Source organism: Homo sapiens, chromosome 2 (assembly GCF_000001405.40).
Source record: "Homo sapiens chromosome 2, GRCh38.p14 Primary Assembly".
Lineage (NCBI taxonomy): Eukaryota > Metazoa > Chordata > Mammalia > Primates > Hominidae > Homo > Homo sapiens.
Window position 1 is genome coordinate 79,974,408 of NC_000002.12, and position 18,562 is coordinate 79,992,969.

Below are 18,562 nucleotides of genomic sequence, written 5' to 3' on the forward strand. Positions count from 1 at the left end.
TGTTACTTAAGACATTGGACTTGACCATAAGGCTGGACATTGACGTACTTACTTCTGCTACCAAAATAATTTCCTGTCTCTAACCAAGTCTCAAACTGACCACATTTAAGTAAAGTTCTTCATCTTCAGTCTTCAACATCATCCCTTAGCAGCATTCCTAGTCAAAGAAGGATTTAAAGTTGGAGGAAGTTATGATATTTTTTCTAATATTATTTGATTCACATTCATATATATTTTTAGAGCAGATATAGGTTGAAGGGTCAGGCACTCTTCTAGGCAAAAGCTGAATGAAATGGACAAAATCCCCATTATTGGGGAGCTTAAATTTTGGTGTGGGAGACAGATAATACAAATTATAAACAAATAAAACATGCAATGTTATAAAGTGAAAATGCTAAGACATTAATCAATGAGAAGAAATTAAGTTGGGGAGGAGTCAGACGAAGCGTAGGAGGGGTAAAGACTGAGCTTGAGGTCTTAGATTAGGTAGCTCTGAAAGGTGTCATTGAGGTGACTTTCCATGCAGATACCTGGAGAACAGAGCGTCATACCAAGTAGAGGGGATAACAGGTGCAAAGGCCCTGAGGCCCAGAGTGTTCAGGAACATCAAGAGGCTGGTGAGCTTGGAACACGGTGAATGAGGAGGAGGCTTGTTTTCTCATTTTCTGCCCTAAGAATATCCTTCATGAGGTACGGAGCACTTGGACCAACAATCTGAAATAAATGGATAAGGAGTGACTTGCCTTATTCGTGAAACAAAATGATTTTGAGTTAGAGGCAGACTCTGGGTTCTCTCCATGGTATCATTCCAGTGGAACTTGGTCTTCAGCTGTTCCTCACAGTTGGTTTCATTCAGAGTCATCAAATCATTGTTCACCCTTCATGTATATGAGAGATGTAAGGATTTGGAAAAACAAACTCAGTTTTTCCTACTCTACTGTCACAACACCGTCAACACAAAACACTTCTGAGACCCCAGATGTGTGGGAGTTTCCCCCCACACACTAAGAGATCAATTTTGCAGCAGATTCTTCAGCAGACACCAGCTGGGTGTCCTCTACGTCAATTCGGTTCTGACCTAGAGGTAGTGTCAGATCCTACAGGTTGAGGGCTCAGTCCCATGAGGCTGTCCCTCACTTCAGATGCCATAGCAAGCACAGGTTGTGGCCTGTGCTTCTGACCAACCAGCTATAAATCAGCATTCCCACGACCCTTTCCTCAGGTCCGATTAATTTGCTAAAGTGGCTCATAGAGCTTGGAGACATACCTTACTTACATTTACAGTTTATTATGAAGGATATTACAAAAGATACAGATGAATAACCAGGTGGAAGACATGTGTTAGGGCAAGGTACGGGGAAGGGGAGTGGAGCTCCTATGCCCTCTGTAGGCGCACCACCCTCCAAGGAAGCTACACAAGTTCAAATTATCTGGAAGCTCTTCCAAACTCAGTCCTGTTAGGTTTTACTGGGAACTTCATTATGTAGACATGATTGATTAAACCATTGGCCGTTAGTGAGGCGCCCAACCTTCAGCTTCTATCCCCTACCAGGAAGTTGGGGGTTGGGGCTGAAACTCCCAATCCTCTAATCATGCCTTGGTCTTCTGGTGACCAGCTCCCAAGCTGAATTTATCTAGGGATCCCCAGCCACCTCATTAACATACAATAGACACTCATCACTCTGGAAATTCTAAGGGTTTTAGGAACTACATGTCAGGAAACAGAGAAGAAGATCAAATATGTATTTCACATTCTCACAAGAGGAAAATTTTATAAGCTTTTCTAATCTGTGGGCATGTGTCTGTAATAATTCCATTTAAATATAATTAATGCCTATCTCTGGTATAACAAGGATTTTTGCTTGCCATTCCTCACTAAACTGTGGGGAGAAATTCAGGCCAACTGAACAGGAGACGGATTGTGACTGAATAAGACACCATACCCTGGAGTTGAATTTCAATGGAATGTGATTCACACAACTACCTTCTGCAGAATGCTCCTTCCTTTTTATTGAGATGTAAACGGATTATGTCTCCATTCGAGAGCACTTTTGCTTTCTCTAGATGGCTGCAAAAGTGTCTTCTTCAGGCCTTTCCATCAGTGCAAGTTCAAATATTGCTGTCCCAGTGGATTAAAAGTTCTATTTGTTGATTTGTTTGTTCCATACATTTAAGATTTTGAAAGAATTTTAAGGGCTTTTGTATCAGGCACAGGCATTACGATTACATTTTAACCTCACAGTGACCTGAAAGGTATATTGTCCCATTGCATAGACAATAAAGCTTTGAGAAATTTAATACGTTCTTCCAAAATGTATATAGTACAGAAGAGCCACTGTTTCCTTGGTGAAGGTGTTTGCTTGTAGGTGTAGAGTGTTTGGCCAGTTCCTTCCCCACTTGGGGCACAGCCACGATAATGCAGAGAACAGCAATCATACTTGCCCTCTTAAAGAAAAAGGGAAAGCCTCATATTTCTGCAGTGCATTTAGGCACATCATGGCTTCCTGCCTTTCAGTGATCAAATTGTTTCTTAAATATGAGACTTGTTCTCAGAGTTATACAATGAATCCTATGCTAATCCACTGTAGAACTGCCATTTTGTTCTTTCCTCCCTGTGGTTTAGACTTTCTGATTCACACAGAGCTTGAAACTTAAATGTTCTACATATATTTAAAATAGTGTTTCACAGAAATGTATTAATAGGATAGTCTTACTAAATAATTGGGGGTAATTTATCCCTAATTTATGTGAATCAATAAATGCATGAGTGATGTAATTGCAAACGTACACACACACGTGCACATGCATATGCATGCACACACACACACACACACACACACACACACACACTGGTTCTCACTCTTCTTTGATATGAGAGATGTAATTATCATGTAGACCCAGGGGCAGTTTTGCACTCCAAGGGACATGTGGTAAACGTCAAGCATTTTTGGTTCCCAAAACTGGGGCAATGGTGCTACTGGCATGTATGTGTAGAGGCCAAGGAAGCTGCTAAACACCCTGTAGTGTACAGGACAGCCCCCACCACGAGAATGATCCAGCCCAGAAGGTCAACAGCACCTATTTAGACTTGCCTATTTTTAATATTACCACCTTTACTGGAAGCTTGAATTTGGAATCATGCTATCCTAGAAAATATTTCTGTTCTAATATCAAAAATGCTTTAAAAATACAGTTATTACATGCATAGTTTTAAATAGTGCATTATAATACAAACATACTAACACTAATTGGGGAAAAATGTAGATTTTTCTCTGTTGGAAACCTAAAATATAACGCTTTTTAAAAAATCTTAAAAATACTTGTTTTCCTAGATTTCTCCTCCCTCCCCCTCTTTTTCTTTATTTTTTCTTTCATTTTGTGAGCTTTCAGACTCAATAAGCCTTGCCAGTCTGTGATGTGTAAAATTATCTTTCTCTGGCCAGAGGGAATTATATCCTTCTCAGCCTCAATTCAACTCATCTGTCAGCCTTTACTGAGTACCTGTTGGGTGCTCAAGCTTGGGTGGTGAGTACAGTGGAAAGAAGGGAGTAATGCAGGGACTCTCCAGCTGAAATACTAGTACAGAGCAGCAGCGGGTGGTGACTCAGGCCTCAAACTGCCAAATGCAAAATCTACTTTGATTCCCACTTCCACATGAACAGGCCTTCACTGAAGTTCGCATAGGGTAAGGTTTTACCATTGAGATGCATATTGTTTTTTTCTTATGGAAGAGAAGGATAGTTTTAACTTAGGGAATTCAGTTGCATTCATTTCATAATAATGATACTAAGACATTCGGGCCATACATTTTGACCGTATATTTGTCTTGCACGGATTACTTGGGTCAAAGTTAGGGAGAAGGAGCTCTGCCACAGTTATTCATCAGGAGAGCCCTGGCTTTCGACATCGGCCACCCTTCCCATTTCCTTTGTTTGGGATGTGTGTTCCATCAAGAATTTAAGCCTTGTTCATCTGTCATCTCTGGCAGTTAGAAGTTTGCATCTAACCTGTGCTGTGAGAACTAAATTGTTCTCTGGCCACGGGTACCATATAATAATGACTATCATCAAGGGACACTACTCCCCCTTCCCCACCAATAGTTCTGAAGATCAAGTCATGTAAAGCGTTAGTCACCAGTTGCCTTCATCTTTTAGTCCAGAATCAATAGACAATCCATTGTTACCAGTCTAGAAGCCTTAAGTAGGATGCTAGGGGAGAAAAGAGTTTGATTCATATCTGTCCATTTGCTTCCCAGTCTACACAGTTGCTCATAAGTGCTGTAAGAGCCACCAACTACTGATGAGGAGCAGTTGGAAACACGCCTCTAGGCTTTTCCTAGAGCAAAATAGTATTAATTCTGGGGTCACTAATTCTTCATCTTTTCATGGTGCTTCATAATCTTCCATTAACAATAAGAGCTAACAGTGAAACAGGAACAATTTTAAATAGTTTGTGTATTATCTCATTTATACCCTGCCAGCAATGCTCTATTTTATCATGCCCTCTTGACATAAAGAAAACTGAGTCTCAAAGAGGTTAAGTCATTTGCTCAATGTCAAGACTTTTGTAAATGGCCAAGTTCATCAGATTTTAATTCAAGGAGTCTGGCTCTAGAACCTGCTCACCTGTTGATTATTCAGTGATACATCCCTGAGGGAATCACACTCTTGGATGAAAGCAGTGTGATTTTCTGATAGGCCGGACACAGTGGCTCAAGCCTGTAATCCCCGAGACTCCAGAGGCTAAGGTGGGAGGATCACATCAGTCCAGGATTTTGACCAGCCTGGGCAGCATAGTGAGACTTCATTTCCAAAAAAATTAAAAAACTATCCAGGTGCAGTGGTGCCTGCCTGTAGTCCCAGCTACTCATGCGGCTGAGGTGAGAGGGTTGCTTGAGCCCAGGAGTTTGAGGTTAGAGTGAACTATGATCATGCCACTGTACTCCAGCCTGGGTGACAAAGCAAGACCCTATCTCTAAAAAAGGAAAACCCTGATAACATGAGTGTGGGCCTGTGGAGTATGAGATTTAGAACATCATTTCGGTGTCCCAGCACAGAACCCAACATTCTTGATTGGTTGGTTGCTTTACATATTGGGGAAAATTAGCTGCAAGTTTCAAACCTAAAATGTTTAGCTCCCCTAGTCCCTAGAAAATAAAATACCAGAATTGGATGGGGCTTTGAAATTATTTAATTTTGTTTGTTAATTTATTTATACCTAGCTAATTACAGAAAGGATTTGAAGTGGTTTGTGATAAAACTACAGTACGACAAGACAAAAAGAAAGTGAGAAAATCCAGGAATGGGAAAATAAGTATTTAAAAAAAAAATACTAAGATAAAGCCAGAGATATCAGGCTTTAAGGCCCTGCACACTTACAAGTATCAGACCGCATATTTAAATATCAATTCCTAGCAACTAATGCAGAGAAAGGAGCTTGGCTAGATGTTGACTTATATAAAGCAAAACCTTTTACCTTTTACGCAGTAGGAACTTAATTGTTCATGGTACTGAGACATTGAAGCAGACATGAAATATAACCTGAGACTTTGTGTTCTCATCTATAACTGGAGATGTTGCATCCGATGACCTCTAAGTGCTTCTCCATCTCTAAGTATCTAAGACTCATGCCTTATTCAAACTTAATGAACACCTTCCAGTTTTTAAAGGGAAAATTATCTGTGTTTTCTTAGATTTGCATTTCTTTTTCTCATCCTAATTTCTTTTTCTTCTAGACCCAGTAACTCTTGTTGTTCTATGATTAAGTAAACTATGCAGGAGAAAAGCATCCTGGAGAATCACAAAGAGGATTTGCACTACATTGGTCCTGAAATGACATTGTCATTTTTAAATGCAAGTTTAAAAATGCAAGTTTTTAACTTGCTCATATGAGTAAATGCATATACTCATATTTCATAGGGACGATTTGTCACATGACATCATCTAATTCTTTTGAAGGCTCAGAAAAGAAACAGGGCTATGACATTGATTAGTACTGGTAATATCAACCTCATTGGTTTTAATATTTTTAACTCCAAAGCCCTCTAATTGCAAAAATTAGGCTCTTAGTGATGCATTTCCTCTGAAATTATAGCAGTTATTACTGAAATTTCTAATTGTTTTTATTGATTCTACAATTACATTTTGAAACCTCATTTGTAATATTTATATGGATATTTATAAACCTCATTATAATTATGTAAACATATTTAAAATCGTTTTTAAGATTTTTTAAAAGTAAAATATAATGTTAAGAGCAAAGGGCTATAGTGTGAATTTGTCTTACACGCATCATATGCATGTTTTGCTAATTTGGATAGATTTCAAGTTTTTCACACTGCTTGTTTTAGAAAAATAAGCAATTAGAAATTAATTTAGAAATAAAAGCTGCATGATCATCATTTTGTAGTCACACTTTAGTAAATAAGTAATTAACTGAAATATTTAAGTTGCAATATTACTTATTCATTTTGCTCATCGTTTACAAATCAACAAAGAAACAATTCTTTCTTTCTTTTTTTTTTAACAGTCAAACATTCTGTGCTGTCTTCCTCGATATATTCTGAATGGGCTCACTTGTTTTCACTAGGCTTTGCTTGGTATTAGAATTTGTGGTTGATGCGGCTCATTTATCAGCCACGTATGGAGAGATTCTGAAAGATGTTTTGTCATTTTCCACTGTCAAAATGATACATTCGCTTCTGTCCTGGTTTCTTTGAAAGAGCTTGAGTTGCACTTATTTTGCAGGGTAAAGCATGGAAATAAATGATACAAAACTAAGTAAACAGAGGGGAAAAAACAGGACTCAGAAAACCAAAAAATAGGGGGCTTCATTTTTAAGCACGCATTTTTAGACTAAGGGGAGATAAAATAAAATGTCCATAGCTACATTTTTTTAGGATTGATCCGGTTACCTACTTGCATCCTGACTATTACAGTGAGTCTTCAATTCTTGTGGATACAGATATGAAAAGAGAAGTAACTTTCCCAAGTTATGGTGGGAGAATAGTTTATTTGATCTTTTAGTTTTCCCTGCTTTGTGTTTTCTGGGTGTAATTTTTCAGCTATTTTATTTGTTCACTTACCATGAAAATAGGAAAGAACTATGATGTGACACTGACACCTGTAACTCGCTAACAGAGTCTGCTTATTACAGACTCCTAACTCTAACATGTATTCCAGAAGACAGTTGGAAAACACGGCCACAGTACACAATAGACTTGCTTTGTAATTAAAGTCATTCTTATGGACCCTAGGAAAATCAGTTATTATCATAATGTAAAGCAATTTTATCGAGCAAAAGCTTACTTTTTCAGAAAAGAAAATGTCCAGTCAAACTTGCCCATTATTTATTTCGTAAATTTTTTATGTTCAGATTTTTAAGTGTAAATACCTAACTAATGTATGTCCTTTCTGGAGAAATGAAATAGGAAAAAAAAGTATAAATCCTGGCAAACTTTGATTTAAACCTGGATCCGTAACCCAGAATTAGCCTTTCTTGATTAAACGACTTTGAGTTTCAGTTTCCTCATTAGGATAAATAAAGATAATAGAATATGAACTTCAAAAGATTGTTGTAAGGATTATATATAAAAACAGCCAAGTTCTTGGTTCATGGTAGTGTTTTGTTTTTGTTTTTGTTTTTATTTTGAGACAGGGTCTTGCTCTGTTATCCAGGCTGGAGTGCAGTGGCATGATCACAGTTCACTGCAGCCGCAAACTCACTGGCTCAAGAGATTCTCCCACCTCAGCCTCCAGAGTACCTGAGACCACAGGCATGTGCCACTATATATATATATATATATATATATATATATATATATATATATATATATGTATGTATATGTACACACACACATAACATATATATAATATATATAACATATATAACATATATAAAACATATATAACATATATAACACACATATAAAACATATATAACCTATATAACCTATATAACATATATATAACATATATAACATATATAACATATATAACATATAACACATATATAACACATATATAACATATATATAACAGAATCTGCTTATTACAGACTCCTAACTACACACACACACACACACACACACACACATGCACGCACACACACACATATATATATTTTGTAGAAATGGGGTCTCTCCATGTTGCCCAGTCTTCATGGTAGGTTTCTGATGTTTCTGTTAATTGCTCTTTGCTTCCTATTAGCATATCCTTTCCTACTCAGTGTAAAATGACAACTATGTGCTATGCCGGTGGCACCCCCTGGAGGCCTGTGACAGTATTTTGGTCTGTCGTCCTCAGTGCTTGCGTTTTTTTCTCTGGGAAATTTTGCTTTCACCTATTGATCTCCATTTTTGTGCTTTTACAGACATACAATTAGTTGAGTCAACATCATACTGTTTTTACTTATTGATACATATGTAAACTTTTTAAAAACTCACTTTCCTCTATCTCTCTTTCAAATTTGACTGATGGATTAAAGGAATAACTCTCTCTCTCTTGACCACAGATTATTTCATTTATGAGGAACCAAGCTATTTTGATGTCTGTGAATGAACTTAAAAGAATGGTTCTCAGCCTGGGTCTCTCTATCAAATAATTGATGGCCACTGGTTTTGGAATTAAATTGGAGAAAATAGAGAAATCCTGCCCCCAAATTACACAACCCTGGAAAGCAACTATATAACCCCTCAAGGTCCAGTCAACAGTTTTATATATATATGTGTATATATATATATATTTTGTATATCACATCTATATTAATACATATATGTTTTATATATTCATATACCTATATTAATATACAACATATCCATATTAATATAATAATAAATTTTTATAGTTTAACATTATATACATTTTTATACATATAAAATTCAACACTTGTGGGATGAAGAAGACAAAGTCCCTGCTTGCGTGAAACTTATATCCAAATGGAGGAGACACACAATAAATACATAGAAAAATAAATAATAAACATTTTTATAAACACTGTGAAGAAACTGACCCAGTGCGACAGTACAGATGCTGACTAGGATAGGGAGGGTCTCCTTTAGATACTCATGGTGCGTGCTTCTCTAAGAGAACTTGGTAATTAGAAGGATGTAGACATTTAAAACTCACTTGGAAATGTGTTGCAGACTAATGCAACAGAAACCATTAAGGCCCAGTTAAGAACAAGCTTGGAGTCTTCAAAGAATAGAGGCCAGTGCGTCTTGTGTCAAATGAACAGGTAGGAGGAGAGTGCTGTAACTGATAAGAACCTCGGAATGAATCCTGTGTCTCTCTTGTATTTCCTTAAATTCTCTGTTTTTAAGAAAACTTGAAAATAAAAGATTTTCTAATCTTAAAATTGTGTTTGATTTGCTTAATTACTAGTACTGCAAAGCCATTGCTTCTTACTGTTTTTATGTCATTTCTCTTTGGGTTTAAATGAATGTTGAAGGGCTAGCCTGGGAACTGACTCACGTTTATACCATGCTCCTGAGAGAAAATATAATCCAAATTGCACTGAAAACTTTGGAACATAGTTCTTTTTCAGATAGGGACAACCTATACTGGAGTGATTAAAAAAAATAAAAGCAGGTCCTCATTTATCATAAAGCCTCATTACTCCAAAACCTCGGTTTCTACTCAAGCTGTGCCGAAGATTACCTTTGTCCTATTATGAAGACTTGCTACACAATTCCCCATAATAATTGATTTAGAATTGGCATGTTCAATTTAATTCTGGGTTTGCAGAAACTTCAACACATTAATGCAGATGGATTTTGTTAATTGCCACGGAATTTTCATGTGTTCATAAAAGTAGTGCTGGCAACCAGGGCCTCTGTTTGGAAACCCTCTTCAGAAAAATGCCTAAGAAAGGATTTTTTTCCCCACTGTCTCCACATTGAGCAAGTTAGTGTTGTTCTGAGAAGAGAGAAAAGAGTTAGTTATTGATGGGGGCATTGATCCAAGTCCTTCTTCTCACTTCAATATTAAAAGATAAAAGGGCTGATTGTGCTCATTTATCATGCTGGTCTCTGTTTTACCTTAAACCCTGATTTTCCACATTTTTCTTTACAAGGCATCCTTTTCATCTCCTACATCCTGTCAAATTTACAAGTTACCTTTGTGCTGATCTATACTTAATTAATTTAAGAGACATCTTTGCCAAAATGTACTTTAGGAAATGCAACCGGGTTGAGAATGATGCCTTAGTTTGTAGAACTTCCAAGTGAAGTGTGGCTATGAGTCAGTGTGCTGAGGGCAGAGGGGCACTGTACAGAGGAGTGAACCACAGAGTGAGACTCACAGAGGCATCAGAAATGCCCAGCCCTGCCATTATTGCTCCCTGACCCATCCTTCTGCCTCCTACCTCCTTTCCCTTCACTATATCCTCTGATCAGCAGCACTGTGACCTATCTAATATACTCACTGTGTCAGGTCATAATCCCCTGCTTAAAAATCCTAGGAGGTTTCCCATCACCTATAGTAAGGATTGGCAAACAATAGCCACAGGCCAAATTGCCTGTTTTTCTCAATAAAGTTTTATTGGAACACAGCCATGCCCATTTGTTTACATATTGTCTATGGCTGCTCTTGGCCTACAAAGGCAGAGCTGAGAGGTTGAGAAGCAGAGACTGTCCAAAAATGTTTACCTTCTGGCTCTTAACAGAAAATGTTTACTGACCCCCAGCCTGCATGATTGGGTTCAAACCCAAAGCACAGCACTTCCCAAGATGCTTCCAGCCTGCCCTGCAGGCTGATCTGTAGCCAACTCCTCCACTGCATCCTCCACTCTGACCCCCCGTAGATAACTCATTATTCCTATACAGTGCTGCACACTCCATGCCTTTACACTCACTGTTCAGAATTCTTTCGATGGCACTGCCTCAACCCCAGGGGCTCTGAACCACCTTCCTTTACACTGATGCCTCACCAGCTTCCCCTGTAGGTGAATTCTGTCACAGCCTTTCAGCATTGCTCAGGGTACATCCCTACAGTCATTAGGTGCCTTTTCCTTATGTGTGCAAACTGCCTCTTCAGTGAGAGTGGCAGCCTCTGAGTGTTTTGCATGCTTTCCTCAGAGTCCAGTCTAGACCTAAACACACAGTACGTGCTCAATAAGTAGGTGTTTAATGGACAGACAATAAGTAAGGTGGCCATCCTGCCTATAAACTAAACAAAGGACATGATGGGGTAAAGCAAATGTTGTCACATTTTCACATTAATCGATGCATTAATGTTGCTCATTAAGCAAACTAATCTACTGTATATGTTAACGTCAATGGAAACAGACAGCACTAGAAACAGAAGCTGCAAGCAGCAGGCCCAGCAGCAGGGAAGTCTGAGCATGGCCTTGCCTGCCTAGAGTGTGCCAGCAGCCAGCATCCAACCTCCTGGGTGTCTTGTAGCAGACCTGGAGCCAGGCAAGTGGGAACAACTGCCAGATATCATACCAGGGCAAGTGCAAATAGATGCCTGAGTCCCAGGTCTCCATCATAAAGCAAATATCTGTCCTTATTCCCTCTAGGGGACCACTTGCCCACACCCCAGGCAACAACAGGAATAGACATTTGCTTTCCGAATGTGCCTGCCCCAGAGGCCAGCCTCTGTTTTAATATGTATTCTTGGAAGTACATGGGATAGGTGAGTTTGCTTTGAAGGGCATATTTTGACTCTATGAGGGACAAATCCTTTTGCCAAAATTTTAACAACTAACTTTAATTTACCACGGGAGATGTTGGTAAAAATTGTCAAGACCTCTTTAAGTTTTCAGCAAATGCCAATAGCAGCTTGGACATGATTGCTGCTAAGATGCCTTTAATGAGCTGAATAGTGGAATGATTGCCTTTGCTTCTTCCTTTGAAAACAGACATTCCCCAGTAGCTGCTGAACATCCCCAAGGATGTTCTTTGAGGATATTCCTCTTTACTTTGTAACCATCACTTGCCCATCCCTACTGCAAACTCTTGGCCCTACCTACGGCACCCTGTGTGACATAGCAATTGCTTTTTCTTTGGTCCTCTGGAGAACTGTTGGTGGGACCACTGATAGTCTTATCAGTGAATTCCCTAAGCTGTAATAGTCTCAACAAAGGATCCATTCTGCAGCATTATATAATGCTGCACTTTTCGTTGTTCTGCTCTCGTGTGACCCTAAATGTTGCTTCTGCAGGAAGTTTTATGCAGGTGGAGGGGCTAACTTACCACTTACACACTTCCAAAATCACTGCCATCATCTTCTCCCTGCCTAGGCCTCATGACATTTCTGCTCACCAAAAGCATACACTACTATTCCGTTCACCTTTTCCTCCATGACATTGTTGAGGAAGGTTGAGTGGAAATAAAGAAGATGGAGATTCTAGGAAGATGAGGTTAGATGGATAAGATGGGGTAGGAGTCCCAGAGTTCCAACATGAAGAGTAGCCCAAACTGCTTCTCAAAGAAGCTACTTCCAGGGCCTCTGTTTACATGTTGTCTTTAAGAAGTAATTTAATCCAGAATGTAACAGACATCTTGATCTGCCCTGAGTTTACAAAGATCAGTGAACATAAAAAGGAAACACAAAGTTGGATCTTGCTGCCTCAAGGTGGAAGTGTCTGGGGGTTGATTGGGCCTGTGGATGCTTTTCTTGACTGGCAGCCCCGGGCCCAGAGTGCTGTGTGGTGTTTGGTGTCTTGTGGAACCACTTTTTTTCCCCACTGGAAGCTGTCTCTCTTCCAAAATTCAAGTCCACAATTCTCCAGGAAGGTCAAGCCCAGCACTGGCCCCTCACCCCAGCCAGGGCGTCAGCCTGTGTCCTCCATCTTTTTTGTCAGGGTGAGCCTTTATCATGGAGTAAAATGCTCTGAAATCTGCAGGGTCTGTGTGTGAGGATCACACTTCCCGTGTTCCTCCATATCTTCCTTTATCTCCAGCTTGCTCACTGTCCTGATTTTCTAGCATCTCATTGAAGCAGCTTGATGTGACAGACATTTTGGAGGTTTTGAATTCAGAAAGAACTGGGTTCAAGTCCCACCTGTGCCTCCTAACGAGCTAGGTGACCTTGGGCAAGTTAATCTTCGAGAGTCTCAGTTTATTTCACCTTTGAAAGGGAAAGTTAGTGATATTTAGCTCATAACATGGCTGTGAGGAATGAAAACTACTTTGACACATACTGGGACTTTAGTAAATGGAAGGTATAAGTTGCAGGCATGTAGAATTTCACTAATTTCCTCAATTTAAGACAATAAATGATAGAAATGAATAAACTTTATATGTCCTTCTCCCTATTCATGACTGTAGAGTTGTTATGTGGCACTTGTTTTATGAAGCATTCTCTCTGACATTGTAAAAAATAATACATCTACCACAACCATGTCTAAATGGCTAAAAGCTATATGCACCCACTTAAAAGCACTTTGAGATAAGTACTGTTAAGTGGAAAATGCCCAGAATACAGTGACACCAGTAATTCTTACGTTGTTTTCAATGTTAGTTCATATTCAGATTAAACAAATAATTTCTGCCTGCCTAAAATATATCACGGTCTGTTAGATAGAGCCTACAGTTACCCTGTTCAGGTCTCAATAAATCTGTGTGGTTTAAGGGAAGTTGGGACAGACTTTCTAAATGGAGTCCATTAGTTCATGATTCTTGAGAGTTGACTGAATGGCAGACTTCCCTGGTTTTGTTTAGTAGCTTCTGCCTGTATTACCCCCAAGAATTGGGTTATGGACAGGACACAATGGGAATTTCATTTTGTGGAGGTTAAGTGTACAGAATATGGCATCAAATCATGTAGGTTGCAATCCTGGCTGCTCCATATACCAGCTACGCAGTTTCCTCATTTTTAAGATAGGATTACTCTTGGTACTTCTGTCATAGGGCACAGGTAAGAGCTTAGACTATCGCCACCATCAGCACTATCATCGTGGAGGCCAGGTGCCTCTATGATGTGTCTATTTGAATATTTAGCACTTGTCCTCAAACCCACTGACCAAGAGGGCATGTTAAAATGGCCACATCAGAAAAAAGAAATGGTAGAGTTAGTGTTCTTTGTGTTGCTCTTCTATATGAAGTGTATGTGTATGTGTGTGTGTGTGTGTGTGTGTGTGTGTGTGTGTATTAGCTTCTATGTGAGGAGCCACACTAAATGCTAGGCACTGTGCTAAGAACTCCACATCTATATTTTTATTTAACCTCAAGTAATTCTGTGAGAATTCTGGATACTTGCAAGAGCTTATTTTACAACCAAAGAAACTAAGGCTCATTGAAGAAAGTAACTTCCCACAGTTGCCAGAGTTGGAATTCTAAGGTTCATGCATTTAGTGGATTTGTTAGAAGCTATATGTAATTGGCCTGCTTATCTCTGCAACTCTAAGGAATGAAAAATCAGTTCATGAGCCCAGGATAAAGTGATATGTACAAGAAGGTTTCTTTCGATCAAATGTTGCATATCTGAGGCTCATGAATGAAGATGAGAAAATAAAACCCTAAGTATACATTTTAGAAAAAGTCTACTGTAATTTGTATTGTGTTGAATGATAAAAGTTCTTTTACTGTATAGCTTTTGTTCAGGATTTAATTACAGGAATACTTTAGCCTCTAACTGTGGATCATTGTTTGGTTAATGTCTGATGGATTGACATTTTTCCAGTATGTTGGATAAAACGGAAACCTCGAGAATTGCATAGTCCTTTAGGCAAAAGAAGACAGGATGCTAGAGGTTTTTGTGATACTTATGAATTAAAATATGCACTGATGGTGGAGTATTCCTCCAAGAAACCCTTAACAAGTAACGGTTTCATAATTCAAATATAACCCAAAATACAAACATTTCAAAGGAAACAAAAATGTTGGGTCTATTCCCAATGCATGTTTCTAAGTCTCTTAGCCTGCTCTCGGCTTTGAGATAGAAGCACTTCTTCCTCTTCCATGGAAACCACTACAAATTGGAGTATTAGGCTGGGCGCAGTGGCTCACGCCTGTAATCCCAGCACTTTGGCAGGCTGTAGTGGGTGGATCACTTGAGCCTAGAAGTTCAAAACCAGCCTGAGCAACATGGTGAAAATCCCGTCTATACAAAAACAAACAAACAAACAAAAAAATTATCTGGACATGATGGCATGCACCTGTGTAGTCCCAGTTACTTGGGAGGCTGAGGCAGGAAGATCATTGAGCCCAGGAGGTCAAGGCTGCAGTGTACCATGATCACACCACTGCACTCCAGCCTGGTCTGGGCAACAGAGTGAGACCCTGCCTCAAATAAACAACAACAACAACAACAGAATTGGAGTATTAGTGACTAAGATATGCATGCATCTGACAATCTTTGATTGACTCTCTAGGCCTGGCTTCCTTATAAATTTCTTTGTTTCTTTTAGTTTTCTATGGAAACTGGATCAGATCAAATCTCTCTCCTGAGATCCAAAGGGGTCTACAGGGTGTGTCAGTGACAGGGTGACATTTCACCAGACTTCTTGGTAATCCAGTAGCTGAATAAGTTGGATTGAACTAGATATCTATCTGCCTTTGCTGAAATATAAATGAAGGCAAGGAAATTCGGAGTTTGGTCTTCCGATTCATACCCCTAGCAGCTGATGTAATATTTGGACTTGGATCTCAAATTCATGAGGATAGACCCTAAGAATAAGATTCTTCTAGCTGTGGGAAGAAACAAAGAGTGATTAGAGGCTGATGTGTCCCTGAGAGAGGCTCCATGCCCTTCTTGCACACAGGCTGAGGATTAGGGATAGGACAACAAGGGGATGGCAGGTAGATTTAGAAAGATGTGTGCCTCGCTCTAGGGAGAACTCAGGAAGCAGCGCAACCCCAGGGAACAATGACTGCAGAATCCGTCCTGAAGGTGAGCTGAGGCAGCCCCTTAGAACTCCCTGTGTCCATAAATTGCAGCAGAATAGAATGATTTTTGTGCACCTGAGAGTAGGATAGAGGGGAAGAAAGGTCCCAGATAACCTCACCAGGTTTTCTGTGGCCCTACTGATACCAGGAAGAGTACAGTGATCACAGATATTAGAGAAAGTGGATGAAGGGAGTCGCACTGATACACGGTGGCTAAGAAAACTAACTTTGGAGTCAGACAATAGATGCTCAAAATCCCACTCCTCCACTTACTAGCTGTGTGATGTTTGGCAAATAAACCTGTCTATGCTTCAGTTTCTTCTTTGTAAAATAGGTATAAATAATAGTAAAGCATTTAGAATAGAGCCTGCCATAAAATAAAAGCTTTATAAGCATTTGCTATTATTGTTACTATTACATTTTATGAAAAGGAGAAAAAGTACATTTCTCATGCACCTGTATTTGAAGATGGAGACTAGGGATATTGGTCTAAAATTCTCTTTTTTTGTTGTGTCTCTGCCAGGCTTTGGTATCAGGATGATGCTGGCCTCATAAAATGAGTTAGGGAGGATTCCCTCTTTTTCTGTTGATTGGAATAGTTTCAGAAGGAATGGTACCAGCTCCTCCTTGTACCTCTGGTAGAGTTTGGCTGTGAGTCCGTCTGGTCCTGGACTTTTTTTGGTTGGTAAGCTATTATTATCTCAATTTCAGAGCCTGTTATTGGTCTATTCAGAGATTCAGCTGCTTCCTGGTTTAGTCTTGGGAGGGTGTATGTGTCCAGGAGTTTATCCATTTCTTCTAGACTTTCTAGTTTATTTGCGTATAGGTGTTGATAGTATTCTCTGATGGTAGTTTGTATTTTTGTGGGATCGGTCGTGATATCCCCTTTATCATTTTTTATTGTGTCTATTTGATTCTTCTCTCTTTTCTTCTTTATTAGTCTTGCTAGCGGTCTATAAATTTTGCTGATCTTCTCAAAAAACCAGCTCCTGGATTCATTGAAGATGGAGACTAGTACTTAGAGTCTCCTCATTCCCAAACTTGTAGGAAATACAAAGCTACAGTGAATGGAATTGAAGTATTCAGATAAATTTCTGTAGATTTCAATACCACCTCCCCCTTTTTTTTCCATGAGCTTTTCATTTACTACTTCACATAATTTTTTGATACATGAACTATCCTTATAACCTTGCGCAGGTGACTTAATTTCTCTAGATCTCCCCTAGAGAAGAAAATTCCTCATCTGTGAAATGAACAACATACCCAGCTCGCAGAGTTGTTGTGAATTCCAAAACAAATGAATCCATTGAATATGAGATGTACAGTAAACGTAGTGCTCGGCATGCAAGCAGCATTCAACAAACTATAAATGTGTTTGTGTTATTATTGTTTGTACTCATCTTAATTTCTATTCAACCATTTTTACATAACTGTAATGGAAAGACTAAATCTAGAATAAAGTTGCCCATGATCAGTGAGATGCACTGGTGGCCTCCATACTTATTCATCCACTTTGGCTCCAAAATGGCTCCAGCCTCCCGTTTGTTGGAAAATCAACAGCCTGTGACATGTCAGTGTTGAGATGATTTGAGGAGTGCCACAGTCTGCTTGTTGATTACGACTGTATATTTGCCAATTCTTTGTGTAATTAAATCCAGCCAAGGCCTCAGGTATGTTCTTAGCCAGGTCTGATTTATTTAGATGTTTTGTTTTAAAAAGAATGCCAAGGTAAAATTTGTTTTGTTTCTTTTGCACCACAAATGCCTTAAAAATCCAATCTTGGTATCAGTGACGGATATTGATATACTTTGTCAAACAAGAAATATCTGCAGCTGCTAGAAATAAAAATTCAATGATTTTCAGCAGACTTTCCTAAGATAATAATGTAATTTATCTTTCAGAGAATATTAAAGGCAAACCTTGAAGGTGAGGGCAAAAAGCCATTTTGTGCCTCAAATTAGAAGGATAATTTAGAAAGAACCACATTTATATTCATTTGAATTTAACAACCTGGAATGGCAACGTTCACATTAGTGATTATTTCTACCTAAATAATCACAAAAAAAAAGAAAAGAAATGATTATATTTTCTGCTTTGAAAATTAGACATACTTAATATTGCATATGGTGAAATGGAGGCAGTAAAACCCCAAAGAACCAAAATGTGTGAGGAATGATATATTTTGGTTAATAGAGCTTTCCATTTGTTGTATTTAAGCAAGTAATGTTTTTACAGTTGTTGGTAAAAACCTTTTTAAATACTTGCGTATAACTTCCTTGTCTTAGTTTAATAAAATCTGCAAAGGTCACTGTGTGAATAGTAGCTCAGACCTAATGTAAGATCTGGGGAAGGATTGAGGCTGCTATGCTAAGAGCGTTTATATGGGAGTTGTATTTTCCTTGTGAAGGTGGTAGTAGTTGTCGAAATTTTGCTTTATTTGTATAAATGTAATATTTTGCTTTATTTCAAGAAATGCTATGAGTATTGTTGTACTTGTAGCTTCTAAGATTATGGTTTGCTTTTTTCTTAAACTTGTGAGTATAGTAGGCATGTATAAAACTGAACTAATGGAAATTTCCAACTAGATTGAATTCTTGAAGATGTGCTTTATATTCAGAGACATTGAAAAGGGAAAGTAGGACTATAACCAAACACTATCTTCTGGCTCTTCACTCTGTGAGGATCTGGTGACATGTAGAAGTGTCCTGGCTAAATTGTAAAATTGACAAA

At 38.7% G+C, this 18,562-nt stretch overlaps 1 protein-coding gene across 11 annotated transcripts in view, besides 1 other annotated feature; it reads left to right on the forward strand.

Moving 5' to 3' along the window:
• Window positions 1-18,562, forward strand: part of CTNNA2 (catenin alpha 2) — a 1,463,404-nt gene that overhangs the window by 789,031 nt on the left and 655,811 nt on the right. The window lies entirely within an intron of this gene.
• Window positions 3,400-3,901: an enhancer, noted in NCBI's record as "NANOG hESC enhancer chr2:80204933-80205434 (GRCh37/hg19 assembly coordinates)". NCBI's record gives its function as "activates a minimal SCP1, AML or CMV promoter by ChIP-STARR-seq in naive H9 embryonic stem cells {active_cell/tissue: H9 hESC(naive)}" and the evidence as "EXISTENCE:reporter gene assay evidence [ECO:0000049][PMID:30033119]".